The sequence below is a fragment of the Homo sapiens genome, chromosome 4 (assembly GCF_000001405.40).
Source record: "Homo sapiens chromosome 4, GRCh38.p14 Primary Assembly".
NCBI lineage: Eukaryota > Metazoa > Chordata > Mammalia > Primates > Hominidae > Homo > Homo sapiens.
Genome location: NC_000004.12, coordinates 174,932,330 through 174,946,599, shown reverse-complemented (window position 1 = coordinate 174,946,599; position 14,270 = coordinate 174,932,330). Strand labels below are relative to the sequence as shown.

Here is a 14,270-nt window from a genome sequence, read left to right as displayed (position 1 = left end):
ACCTGGAAGCATCCCCCTTGAAAATGAGAAAAAGACAAGGATACCCTCTCTCACCAATTTCATTCAACAAGGTACTGGAAGTCCTAGCTAGAGCAATCAGGCAAGTGAAAGAAATAAAGGGCATCTAAATAGGAAAAAGGAAGTGAAATTATCTCACTTTACAGACAATATAATTCTATAACTACAAAGCCTCATAGTCTCTGCCCCAAAGCTCCTAGATCTAATACAGTACTTAAGCAAAGTTTCAGGATACAAAACAGAGTACAAAAATCTATAGCATTTCTATACAACAACAATGTCCTAGCTGAGAGCCAAATCAAGAACATAATCCCATTCATAATAGCCAAAAAAGTATAAAGTATAAAATACCTAGTAATACAGCTAATGAGGGAGGTAAAAGATTTTGTCCATGAGAATTACATAACACTGCTGAAAGAAGTCAAAAATGACACAAACAGATGGAAAAACTTTCTGTGCTCATGGAGAGAAAGAATCGATATTCTTAAAATGGTCATACTACCCAAAGCAATGTTCAGATTCAGTGCTATTCCAATCAAACTACCAATGACATTCTTTACATAATTAGAAAAAAAGTTTTGAAAAATTCATATGGAATCAAAAAAGGCTCAAATAGTCAAGGCAATTCTAAGCAAAAAGAACAAAGCTGAGGCATCATATTACCTGACTTCCAAATATACTACAAGACTACAGTAACCAAAATGGCATGGTACTGGTGCAAAAACAGACACATAGATTAAAGAAATGGAACAGAGCACTCAGAAATAAAGCCACACATGTAGAACCATCTGATCTTCAACAAAGCTGGCAAAAACAAGCAATGGGTAAATGACTCCCTATTCAATAAATGGTGCTGGAATTCTGGCTAGTCACATGCATAATATTGAAACTGGTCCCCTTCCTTACACCATATACAAAAATCAACTCGAGATAAACTAATTACTTAAATGTAAAACCTAAAACTGTAAAAACCCTGGAAGATAACCTAGAAAACACAATTCTAGACATAAGAATGGACAAAGACTTCATGATGAAGATGCCAAAAGCAATTGCAACAAAAATTGACAATTGGGACCTATGTAAACAAAAGACTTCTGCACAGCACAAGAAACTATCAACAAAGTAAATTTTTAAGACAACCTACAGAAGGGGAGAAAATATTTGCAAACTATGCATCTGACAAAGGTCTAATATCCAGAATCTATATGGAAATTAAGCAGATTAGCAAGTAAAAACAAACAACCCATTTAAAAGTGTTCAAATGACATAAGCAGACACCCTTTCAAAAGAAAACATACATGTGGATAAACAAGCATATGAAACAGTTCAACAATACTAATTAGATAAATGCAAATCAAAACCACAATGAGATACTATGTTCAGTATGGGTATTATTAAAAAGTAAAATAATAATAATAACAGATGCTGGCAAGGTTGTGAAGAAAAGGGAATGCTTATACAGGTCTAATGGGATTGTAAATTAATTCTGGCATTGTGGAAAGCAGTTTTGCAAAACTACCACTTAATCCAGCAATCCTATTGGGTATATACTCATAGGAATATAAATTGTTCCACCATAAAAACACATGTACATGTATATTCATCACAGCACTGTTCACAATAGCAAAGAATCAACTCAAGTACCCATCAATGACAGACTAGATAAAGAAAATGTGGTACATATACACCATGGAATACTATGCAGCCATTAAAAAGAATGAGATTATGACCTTTGAGAACACATAGGCAGAGCTGGAGGCTATTATCCTTAGCAAACTAACACAGAAACAGAAAACCAAATACTGCATGTTGTCACTTATAAGTGGGAGCTAAACATCGAGTACACATGGACACAAAGGATAGAACAACAGACATGAGGGCTTACTTGAGGGTGGAAGGTGGGAGAAGGATAAGGATTGAAAAACTACCTATAAGGTACTATGCGTACTACCTGGGTGACAAAATAATCAGTACATCAAACCCCCATAACACACAGTTTGCCTATGCAACAAACTTACATGTGGATCCCTGAAGCTAAAGAAAAGTTTAATTAAAAAAAAATACAAATAAGGAGACTAGAATGCTGACATTTCCTAACCATGTTTTGAATATGAAATGAAAATAAAACAAAGAGAAAAATATAATATTCCACCCATGCATGGAAAGAAATGAAAGGACATCAACAGCTTGGGGAGTGAGATGGCAGAGTGCTGATTTTATTAGTTTACAAAAACAATTTAATTTTTTTAAACTATCTTTCCTTTCTTCCTACTCGGATTTTTGTTCTTAGTTTTTATTTCTTGAAATGAATGTGTTTACTTCTTGAGATGGGTGATTTCTTTTTTTTCTAATGTAGGCCATTATACACATTTCATTCTAAGTTCAACTTTAGCTGTATCTCATGATTTCTATGTGGTATTTTATATTTCAAAATCTTTCAAAGTTTTGCTATTACTTTTTGATTCCACATTATTTATAACTGTTAATTATAATTTTATATTTAACAACATATAATTTATAATTGTATTTATAATTATTTATAGACAATAAAACATTACTATATAACAGTGTTTCAGTGGTATACCTTTCAGTATAAGTAAAAGCACCTTCGTGTTCTTGTACAAAGATGGGGGCAATTATGGACAATAAATTGACATGCTTACTTTTAATGTAACCATTGAATAATTTCTCATAAAATGAGTGTGTATTATTATAATAAAACTATTAGGTTTTATAATCACTGAACGACTTCCTTTTTTTTTTTTCCTGTACATTTGTGGTAAGGCTCATGCTACAAGTCAAAGATCAGAAGTTGACTCTTCTGGAAGAAATATCAAAAGAATAACAAACCAATTCAGGACGAAAGAAGGTCCTTAATATGGTTTGACTCTTGTGTCCCCACCCAAACCTCATCTTGAATTGTAATCCCCATGTGTCAGGGGAGGGACCTGGTGGGAGGTGGTTGGATCATGGGGGTGGATTTCCCCCATACTGTTCTCATGATAGTGGATTCTCAGAGACCTGATGGTTGATGGAAAGCGATGATCCTCCCTTGCTCTCTCTCTTTCCTGCTGCTATATAAGATGTTACTTGCTTCCCCTTTGCCTTCCACCATAGTTGTCATTTTCCTGAAGCCTCCAAAGCTATGTGGAACTATAAATCAATTAAGCTTCTTTTTAAAAATAAATTACTCAGTCTCAGGTAGTTCTTTATAGCAGTGTGAAAATGGACCAATACAGAGAATTGCTACTGGAAGTGAGGTGCTGATATAAAGATACTTGAAAATGTGAAAGTGACTTTGGAACTGACTAATGGGGAGAGGTTAGAAGAGTTTGGAGGGCTTAGAAAAAGACAGGAAGATGTGGGAAAGTTTGGAACTTCCAAAATACTTGCTGAATGCGTTTGATCAACATGCTAATAGTGGTATGGACAATGAAGTCTCAGCTGAGGTGGTTTCAGGTGGAGGTGAGGAATTGATTGGGAACTGGAGCAAAGGTCACTCTTGCTATACTTTAGCAAAGCGACTGGCAACATTTTTCTCCTGGCCTAGAGATCTGTGGAACTTTGAACTTGAGAGAGATGATTTAAAGTATCTGACAGAAGAAATTTCTAAGCAGCAAAGTACTCAAGATGTGACCTGGCTTTTTCTGAAAGTGTAAAGTCATGCACTCACAAAGAGATGGTCTGAAATTGGAACTTATTTTTAAAAGGGAAGCAGAGTGTAAAAGTTTGGAAAATTTGCAGCCTGACCATTTGGTAGAAAAGAAAAACCCATTTTCTGGGGAGAAATTCAAGCCACTCACTGCAGAAATTTGCATAAGCAAAGAGAAGCTGAATGTTAATAGCCAAGGCAATGGGGAAAATGTCTCCAGGGCATTTCAGAGATCCTCACAGCAGCCCCTCCCATCACAGTCCTGGAAGCCTAGGAGGGAAAAATGGTTTTGTGGGCCAGACTCAGGGCCCAACTGCTCTGTGAAGCCTCAGGAGATGGTGCTCTGCATCCCAGCCACTCCAGCTCCAGCTGTGGCTAAAAGGGGTCAAGATACAGCTCTGACCATTGCTTCAGAGGGGACAAGCCCTAAGCCTTGGCAGATTCCACATGGTATTGGGCCTGTGGGTGTGCAGAAGACAAGAGTTGAACTTTGGGAGCCTCTACGTAGATTTCAAATGATGTATGGAAATGTCCCGATGTCCAGGCAGAAGTCTGCTGCAGGAGTGAAGCCTGCATGGAGAACCTCTATTAAGGCAATGCAGAGGGGAAATGTGGGGTTGGAGCCCCCACAAAGAGTTCCCACTGGAGCAATGCCTAGTGAAGCAGTAAGAAGAGGGCCACCATCCTCCAGACCCCAGAATGGTAGATCCCCCAACAGCTTTCACCATGCGCTTGGAAAAGCTGCAGCACTCAATGCCAGCTCATGAAAGCCGTCATGGGGACTGTACCCTACAGAGCCACAAGGGTGGAGCTTCCCAAGGCCATGGGATCCCACCCCTCACATCAGCATGCCCTTGATGTGAGACATGAAGTCAAAGGAGATCATTTCAAAGGTTTAAGATTTAATGACTGCCCTTATGGGTTTTGGAATTGCGTGGGGCCTGTAGCCTCTTTGTTTTGGCCAATTTTTCCCTTTTGGAATGGAAAAATATACCCAATTCCTCTACCCCCTTTGTATCTTGAAAGTAACTAACTTTTTTACTTTGCAGGCTCATATGCAAAAGGGACTTTTTTTTATCACAGGTGAGTATTTGAACTTGGACTTTTGAGTTACGCTGGAATGAGTTAAGACTTTGAGGGACTATTGGGAAGGTATAATTGGTTTTAAAATGTAAGAAGGACATGAGATTTGTGAGGGGCCAGGGGTAGAGTGATATGGTTTGGCTCTGTGTCCCCCCAATCTCATCTCAAATTGCAATCCTCATTTGTCAGGAGAGGGACCTGGTGGTGATTTGATCATGGGGGTGAACTTCTCCCATGCTGTTCCCATGACAGTGAGTGAGTTCTCAGGAGATCTGATGGTTAAAAGTGTGGCACTGTCCCTGCTCCCTGCTGCCATGTGAGACATGCCTTGCTTCCCCTTCCACCATCATTGTAAGTTTCTTGAGGCCTCCCCAGCTATGTGAAGCTGTGAGTCAATTAAACCTGTTTCTTTATAAATTAGCCAGTCTCACATACTTCTTTATAGCAGTGTAAAAACAAATTAATACAGCATTTTTAAATTTGATATAGGGAACCAACCCATGGAGACAGGCTTCACTGTATTAGACAACATCACCACAATAACCTGACATTTATCAGACACATCAGGTGATTGCATCAGGATTTCCATGATTCATTTAATCCAGAAGCAGGTCCGTTTTTAAAAACACTGCTACCTTTACCCCAAGACCAAGATAACAAGAATTATTAGGTGGACCAGAATGAAATTAAATAATTTGAAATTTCTTCTTTTTTATACCATCTATAATCCTTAATTTAACAGGCTTATTTGTACAAATGGAAATCAAATTCATGGTAAATAGAATTTTATCTCAATTGACCCCCTGAATTTATAAATAATAACCATATAAAAGTTTGTTCTACAGATTAAAACATAGAAACTTAATCATAAAAACTTAATGATGATTTTCTAACTAATGGCATACATTTATTGTTCTTGAGTATGACACCACTTAAAACAATGGTTATGCACCATGCTAAAAGGCTTGACTGATTCCCTTTACTAGTTATGAATGCATAATCATTTTCATAGGTCAATAGATTTGTCTTTTTTTATTTGGCTTTACTTGGATAAATGGAATGTATAATCATGACCATGCTGAAAATGTCACATATAAAGTCAAATATTACTTAAATAGGTCTTATAAGCCCTGTTTTAAGCAAGAAGACCCCACTTCACATGTGAAGTGATGTCTATTAAGTGCTTCTAGAATACATAATTAATGTCACTAAATAATTAATATCACTTTTAAATAGGCAAGGAATGTTGGCAAAATAGAAGATCCTAGTATGAAAAAAAGTCAGAGAGGCTTCAAAGAAATCTGAGAAAAATACTTTGTGTGGCTCTTTTTTCTGATCTGTATAAAAAAGCAGATAAAGGCTGTAAAAATAATTCTGACTCACACAAGTAGTTTTAATTATAACATTAGGGACTTTATGGACCCTATAGGCATATGTTAACCCTCAAGTTTTAATATCATATGCCTGTCATCATGTTAACATTGCGGTTTTGTCTATTAATATCTCATGTTATATCTACATAAATAACTCTAAATAAGCAAACCTTCATGTTAATGATACCAAGTCTAAAAGTAGCTAAATAAGCTGATGTGAACAAATCTTTGACCAGAGGAGGTACTGAGAAAGCAAAACTAGTATCTTGTTTTGCCACCATGAGGTGTGATCATGCACTTACTTCACTTCCCACAGCCCTGGAAGAAAACTAACCACTTTACCCTGAGATATTAAAAACAATAGCAAAAACAGTGTGCCTTGAAATATACCCCTAACTATATAAAATCTACCCTTTATATATGTTTCTGACTCCTCAATAAAAGGGAAAGAAGGGGGGAAGGAAGAAAGAAAGGATGGAGAAAGGTAGGGAGGTAGGGAGGAAAGGAAGGAAGGAGAGAGGAAGGGAGGGAGGGTAGAAGGAAGAGAGGGAGAAAAAGGAAAGTTTGTATTCATAAAATTTGCAACACTGACTTGTGATCAGTCTTGTGTTTCTGATAATCATGTGAGAAAATGGCTATTTTTCCACCAGTTAACTATAAACTTGGTAGCCTCAGGCTTGTTTGTTTCTTTCCATCTAAAGGTGTATTGTGTCTTTTATTTGGATAATCCATCCTTGTGAAATCTGATCTGCCTTTTAAGCTTTTGTAGGTAAATTTTATTTTTTCCATGAGGTCCTGATTTTAGGAAATGTGAACAATTGATGAACGTAACTCAAAATGAAATATTATAAATTATTTTACATCTCTCAATTCTAATGAACAATTGCCAAAACCCATTTATTATTTACACTCAAAGGTATGTGATAAAATATTTTCTAAATTGTTTAAAAATAAAAATGGCATTTATTTGCAAATGCTGGCTTGGAGTGAAATCTATACTTGAAATATTAAAGGGGAAAATATCCAGTTGTTTGATGATTCATTTTTCTGTCCTATTTTCAGAATATTCGAACCAGAATAATAAAACTTTGACTATTCCTTATTCTAGATGATTTCTGGAGGAGGTAATTAAAGTCTCTTCTTAGCCGACATCAGTACTTCATGAATTAGACAGTGTTTTGATGTGGGCTCTTAGAAAAGGAAATGGAAAAGAAAGTATATCTTTATGAGTACTATGATCAAAAAAGAAGTGCTACTATCTGTGGTGGATTGGATGGTGGCTCCCAAAAAGATATGTCCCATGTCCTAACCCCAGGAACCTGTGAATGTACTCTTATTTGGAAGAAAGACTCTTTGCAGAAAGACTCTTTGCAGATAAGTAAGTTAAGGACCTTGATATGAGATCTTCCTGGATTATTGTGTGCCCTAAATCTAGTGACAAGTGCCTTTATCAGAAAGGAGAAGGTGAGAAGACATGGTCACATAATAGAGAAGGCCACGTGGAGACCCATATAATGATGGAGACAAAGACTGCAGTAATGCTGCCACAAGCCAAGGAATTCCTTGAGCCACCAAAAACTCAAAGATTCAAGGAAGAATTCTGCCCCAGAGTCTCTTCAGAGGGAGCTTTTCCCTGCCGACACCTGGATTTTGGACTCTTCAACTCCAACATTTTGGGAGAATGAAATTCTGTTGTTTTAAGCCACCAATTTGTGGAGATTGTAATGGCAGCCCTAATAAAACATTACACCAACAATCCCCTGTTTTCTTATCCTGAGCCCCAGTCAAGATATTCAGATGATCTCATGATCATCTTGTAATTCATATTTGGCACAAGCATCTCTTAAAACAAGGTCATCTGAGTAGTATAAGTTTATCTTTGTTTTGCTGTACATTTTATGAAAACATTATTTTATGAAACCTGAGCAAAGTCTGAATATTTAAAAAAGGAGAGAAACATAGAGCACTTTTGTATATACAGAAGTTTTTCCTCCTCCTTCATAAAAATGATATTACAAATAAAACCTTAAGAAATCCACCATGCATCCCTTCACTCTCAAGTCTTCTCAATTGCTCATCTACTTCTCTAATATTTTGGTTTAGGGTAGCATTACTGGACTTAGGAACAGAATTTTCACATTCCCATTCCATTTCTCTCTGTTCCATCCTTAGTTAACTTCCCCAAATTCTGTAGTTTTATATCTTCCACATAATTCATGCTACCTAGTAGACTTCTTGCCCCGCCCCAAGATTTCTTGGTTTTTTAATATTTAAATCTTCCTTCTTATTTGTTATCTCCACTTAGAATTTTCCTTGTGGCCATATCCACATGCTGAAATGTTCATTTGTATTTAGAGACCCTTCAAATAATCTATTGTCCCCAATGTCTTTTCAGATATAGCTAGTCGGAATATTTCCCCATATTCTTCAGCTGCAGTCATGAAAATCTTTCATCATCTCTAATATCTATTATTGTCACGAGACCATGCAGCTGCCAACACACTTTTGTTGGACTACAAACAATGAAATATCATTAATTTCTGAAAAACTTGCCCTAACCTGTATCACTTGCTTCTTTCACTCCTGGCTTTTAACATTGCAATTTGTCATAATGTTTTAATACCTTATTCAAGTGGTGTGGCAGGCACTAATTAATTGCTATTCTGAGATCCTTCTTATATGAAAAAGTATAAAATGTGATTTGGATAAGGAATAGCAACTGCTTCAATCCGAGGCTCAGAAAATGCTTTCTGAGAAAACAAAAAAATACTCTGAAATTTGAAATGCTTAGGAACTAGCCAGGCGAATAGGGTACGTAAAGAAATGAGGTAGCAGCATGTATGAAGACATTCAGAGGAAAGGAAATATGATCTGTTTGAGAACCTTAAAGAATACTGTAGTTTTTGGTATAGAAATTCTGGTTGAGAAATCACCTGATGAAATGGGAGAGATGGCCTGGTCTGACTACAGATGTTTAGGTTTATAAAAGGTTATTTTTCACAATATAAAAGTCAGATGTTTTTGAACTTTGACAACTGAAAAAGAGTAAAATAACTTAGGATTCAACAGTAAGAATCTTTAGAAATATATCAAAGTAATATGATTTTTAAAAATAGAATGGAAAATTGATGATAGCTGAGAAAATAGCTAGGAGTGTTTATAAATGAATACATCATCATTTGCGTAACTCTTTTTGGTGGCCTAGACGGCTAACAGCTTGACACAATTCATTCTAGCTTTAGGATGTGAAGTGAAGGAATTAGTGACCTCTTTCATTGAGAAAGAAAGCTCTATGGAAATTATTGGCAAATTGTGAGTAAAGATTTTACTGGTTCTCTACATAATGCAACAAGTAAGTGTCAATGTGTATAGCACGGCATCTATTTAAAATGTGTGTTTTATTGTGATAGAAATTAAAACCCCCTTGTACTAAGAAGTGAAAAAAGTGAAATTAATTTACCTGTAGTAACAAATTGATTATTTTTAGAGAAGAGAATCTGGCATTGATTCTTGCTCCTGTTGTTCAGGAAAGTCACATTCTCTGGAATAAGAGGAACTCATTATATTTAAAATATTATCACAGATGATAAATTCTCATTGTTCTATATTGGCATAAAAATGCTCTTTTAAACTGAACGAGATCACTCTCCAAATCATTTTTTCCTCCTAGGATAGCACTTAGTGATATGAGCTTAATTGAAAAAAATATATAAGGATATCATGCCCATGTCTTTTTGGTGACATGACATGAACTTTATGCTTCAATAGAAGGTAAATTTTAGTTGTAATGTGGAATAACAATGAAAAAAATAGTACCGTTTAGGAGGCTTTATTTTATCCTTGCCATTCAAATACAAGTGGGAGCAACTTAGAACAAATACATAGGTAGTTTTTAACTGCAATGTTTTATCAATAAAATAAAATAACTTTTTAAAGTTATAATGAGTTGCCAGGGCAGGGGAGGAGTGAGGGGGCAAGTTTACAGTGGTAATAGAACATAAAGGAAGTCAATTTAGGAAATGGTATATTCTGCTAAAGTAGTAAACTTCGTAAAATGTTGTTCCAAAAAATGTCAAATAAGTAACAAATTTATTTTCGTTCAGTAAAAATTAAGATAAATTAATAATAATAACTTTTGACCTTTCAAAATCTTAATTAGGCACTTTTCTTTGTTCTACATGGTAAAGAAAACTGCTCAAAAACTTCTTTCACTTTTTGCTTTTATTTGGGAATTCAAGTCGAAATTACATTGATATTATAGAGACAGAATTTCCGCAATGCAAGTTGATTGCTGGATTTAAACTATCTACTCTCAGAGGAATACAATGAAAGAGACTGAATTGCTGTTATTGAAGGTCTACAATGCCATTATTTATTAGATTGACCTGAATCCCAATTTTGCCCTGGGCTGTTGTGATTTGTAACTGTTGTCCCAGTGTACTTATTAATATTGACCTCCTTTTGTTCTCAAAAGTATCCAGATTGGACAGTAAATTATATGGTCACTCTATTTAGTTAATATCTGAGGCATACTTTTTATGTTTCTACCAGTGCAAACATAATTCTCGTAAGCAAACTTGTTGGAGAAGTGCCCATTTTTCAAATGAAGAAACTAAGCCTTCACATAAATAAGTAATTCATGTAATCCAGGAGCAAACCCCAAATTGCTGACTCAGAAGTCTACATCTTTCTATTTACAGAGACACACAGCCTTTTCAATAATTGCTGAATGAATAATGAAGTGAAATACTGTGTTAAGTATTTGAAGGAAAGAGTAAATGGTAGGACTGCAGCACTGGGAATCTATTGAATCAAAACTTCTAAATAGATTAAGTCAACCAGATTAACTTGCCTATTTCGTAAATATGGATAATTTTTATATTGCTTCCTAAATACCTAAGCCTCAACTGTATCAGAAAGCAGAAAAAGGCAAAACAAAAAACAAAATAAACAAGCAAAAAAATCTTACTAGACGTTCACTATGAATGGGGTAGTAGGTTTACTTTAAAATAGAACATTTTAACTTGATGAAGATCTCTGAGAATGGTTCCCTGTGGTCCCAAACCTCATAGTGTCCCAAAAGTGTCCTGTGTATACATGGGCTTATTGAGTTTATGTTGTTTTTCTTATTTACATATTTTAATCTAACAATAAATTCTGAATTCCACATGGGAAGGTACCTTGAAATTTGATAAGAATTCAATGCATTTCTAATGACATATCCTGTATTATATGTAGACCCTTCTATTGTTATATAACTTTATTTTATTTGAGAACTGACAACAGAGAGATCTTATCTAAGGAAGTTAACTGGTTTTCCAAACAAGGGCTCCTCAATTGTAAAACTAGGGTATTTCGGTAAAAAATTTATAACACTGGCAGCTCACGCTCTTCATAGCTTTGATGCCTATAATATATGAACACAGTTACAATAATATGTACTATGTCTTTATCTCTATTGATTATGTATCTATCTATCATCTGTGTATCCATTTTTCTTTCTATCCATTCAGGTAATATAATATGAACTAAAAGTATTAATTTTGCTTTAGTTCACAGCTTTCTAAGGGACTAGAGAATTGTTTATATCTCTTTTAACCTATCTTTTTGCATCTAATTATAATATCAGAAAAGTTAGCTGTGGGCCAAATTGAAGGTCCCATTTCAGATGAACAGACTCACTAGACAAAAGACTGACAGACCCTGAAAAGTTAACTACAACAGCGGTTTTCAATTCCATCCGTGCATCAGCATCTCCTGCGGAAGATGGGAAACCCCAGATCTGAGTCAGAATCTCTGGGGATGAAGCTCTGATATGTTACTTTTAAATATCACAACAGACATGTGGCTCATAGTGAAAAAATAATAAGATGAATTGAAAAAGAAGAGTTTTGGTTATAGAAAATTAAACTGCAATATCAGCGTTAAAATTTGTATCAGTTAAGATTATGATTGCAATTGACACTAGAAAAACCCAAGTGTTTTGAACAATAAGATTATACATTAAAAAATAGAAATAAAAATACAAAGAAAGAAAATGGTAAATATGGAGAAAATAGAGATTAAAATTAAAACTCTTTGAGATTTCTGATACTGAAATTATCAGCAAATGAGAAACTACAAACTTTATGATATATGCATTATATCATAATAATGCTGGTATATCAAAGAGAAATATAAGGTAATAAACTTCATAATTAGTTCACTAATGATACTTAAAAATAGACTTGTCATATGAAAAAAAGCTCAATATGACTGATCATTAGAGAAATGCAAATCAAAAACACAATGAGATACCATCTCACACCAGTCAGAATGGCTATTATTAAAAAGTCAAAAAATAACAGATGCTGGTGATGTTGCAGAGAAAAGGGAACACTGTTGGTGGGAATGTAAATTAGTTCAACTATTGTGGAAAGCAGTGTGGCAACTCCTCAAAGAGCTAAAAACAGAAGCACCGTTCAACCTAGCAATCATATTACTGGGTATACCCCAGAGGAATATAAATCATTCTCCTATAAAGACACAAGAACACCTATGTTCATTGCAGCGCTATTCACAATAGTAGAGACACAGAATTAACCTAAATGCCATCAATGGTAAACTGGATGAAGAAAATGAGGTACATGTGCACCATGGAATACTGTGCAGGCATAAAAAAGAAAGAGATAATGTCTTTTGCAGGAACATGGATGGAGCTGGAGGCCATCATCCTTAGCAAACTAACACAGAAACAGAAAACCAAATACTGCATGTTCTCAATTATAAGTTGGAGCTTAAGGATGAGAACATATGGACACAAAGAGGGAACAATAGACATTGGGGTCTCCTTGAGGATGGAGGAAAGGAGGAGGAAGAGGATTAGGAGAAATAACTATTGGGTACTAGGCTTAATACCTGGGCGAAGAAATATTCTGTACAACAAACTCCTGTGACATATGTTTACCTATATAGCAAACATGCTCGTGTACCCCTGAACCTAAAAGTTTTTTTTTTAAATAGAGCTTGGTAGGCATGTAACTTCTTGACTTTTCTATGATTTAACATATCACAAAAGCTCCTTTTCCACCTCATGTTAGATAGTCATAAACAATTCAAGTTAAACTCAATTATTTCAGTATTCTTTGTCACTTCAAATTTACACTTAGGGAGCTCGAGAAGTTTCTCTTTCACTTCTCTCTAGAATTTTCTTTTCTAAGAGGTTGTATGACCACTATATATAGTGAGGAAGGAGCAAAGCCCCTGCCCTGTGGATGTGCTCTGTCCTCTGCTGGGATCCTATTCTCCACACTTTCAGGCAGAGAGCTTTTTGTTATCCCAGACCCCATTCTGCTCACTAACTTTATGGTCCAATCTAATTTATTCTCTAGATTCTTCTAATCACAATTACAAAACATCCTCAGAGCCGTTTGCTTTCTGTTCCTTAACTTCCACTCTCTGCCAGTTAAGGAAATGTGAGATTGCTCCTCTTATCTGACCAAATCACATGGGACCTATCTGTGAGGACGTTCCAAATCCATGTTCCTGGCCCTAGGAGATTTGGGGAGATTTTTAGGTTTCCTAGATGATCAGGTATGAACACACAATAAGTCTTATCTATTCTTTGATTCCTGACATCCTTTCTTTTCATCGTTCCATACTGTGGCTAATTTTGAGACGAAAGAACTGCTTTCCCAGATCTCATTAGTGTCTAGCCCTTTGGTTTCCTCCTCAGACTTTCCCCTTTTTTCACTGCAAAATTTTCATTTAGTTTGGACAAAGGGGAAAAGAAGGATGGGAAAAAATAGTCCCACTTCCTAAAAGATCACTCAAAATCCTTACTTGGCTTATGCTATGGTCTGAATGTATGTGTCCCCCAAAATTCATATGTTGAAACTTAAACCCCAATGTGATAATATTAAGAGGTGTGGCCTTTGGGAGTGATTGGGTCCTATGGGCTGTGGCCCTATGAATGGGATTAATGTCTTTGTAAAAGAGGCCTGAGGGAGCTTGTGAGGCCTTCCTTGCTACCATGTGAGGATACAGACTTGGTTATAGCAGCCCAAATAGACTGAGGTAGCTTACCACTAGATCCTAATATTTGAAGTTATAAACTAAGAATTGTTACATCTTTACTCTCTGATTATACTTTCTCCCCATTCAGG

The 14,270-nt window shown here is 35.7% G+C and overlaps 1 protein-coding gene across 12 annotated transcripts in view; it reads right to left on the bottom strand.

The window, feature by feature from the left end:
- ADAM29 (ADAM metallopeptidase domain 29) overlaps window positions 1-14,270 on the bottom strand; it is a 59,823-nt gene that overhangs the window by 31,581 nt on the left and 13,972 nt on the right. For 7 of the 12 annotated variants that reach the window (NM_001278125.1, NM_001278126.1, XM_011531557.2 and 4 more), the window contains one exon: window positions 9,587-9,667. The exons of the other annotated variants lie outside the window; for them this stretch is intronic. The gene's annotated coding sequence lies outside the window, so the exon portion shown is untranslated. The remainder of the gene's footprint in view (window positions 1-9,586; window positions 9,668-14,270) is intronic. 12 annotated transcript variants of the gene reach the window in all.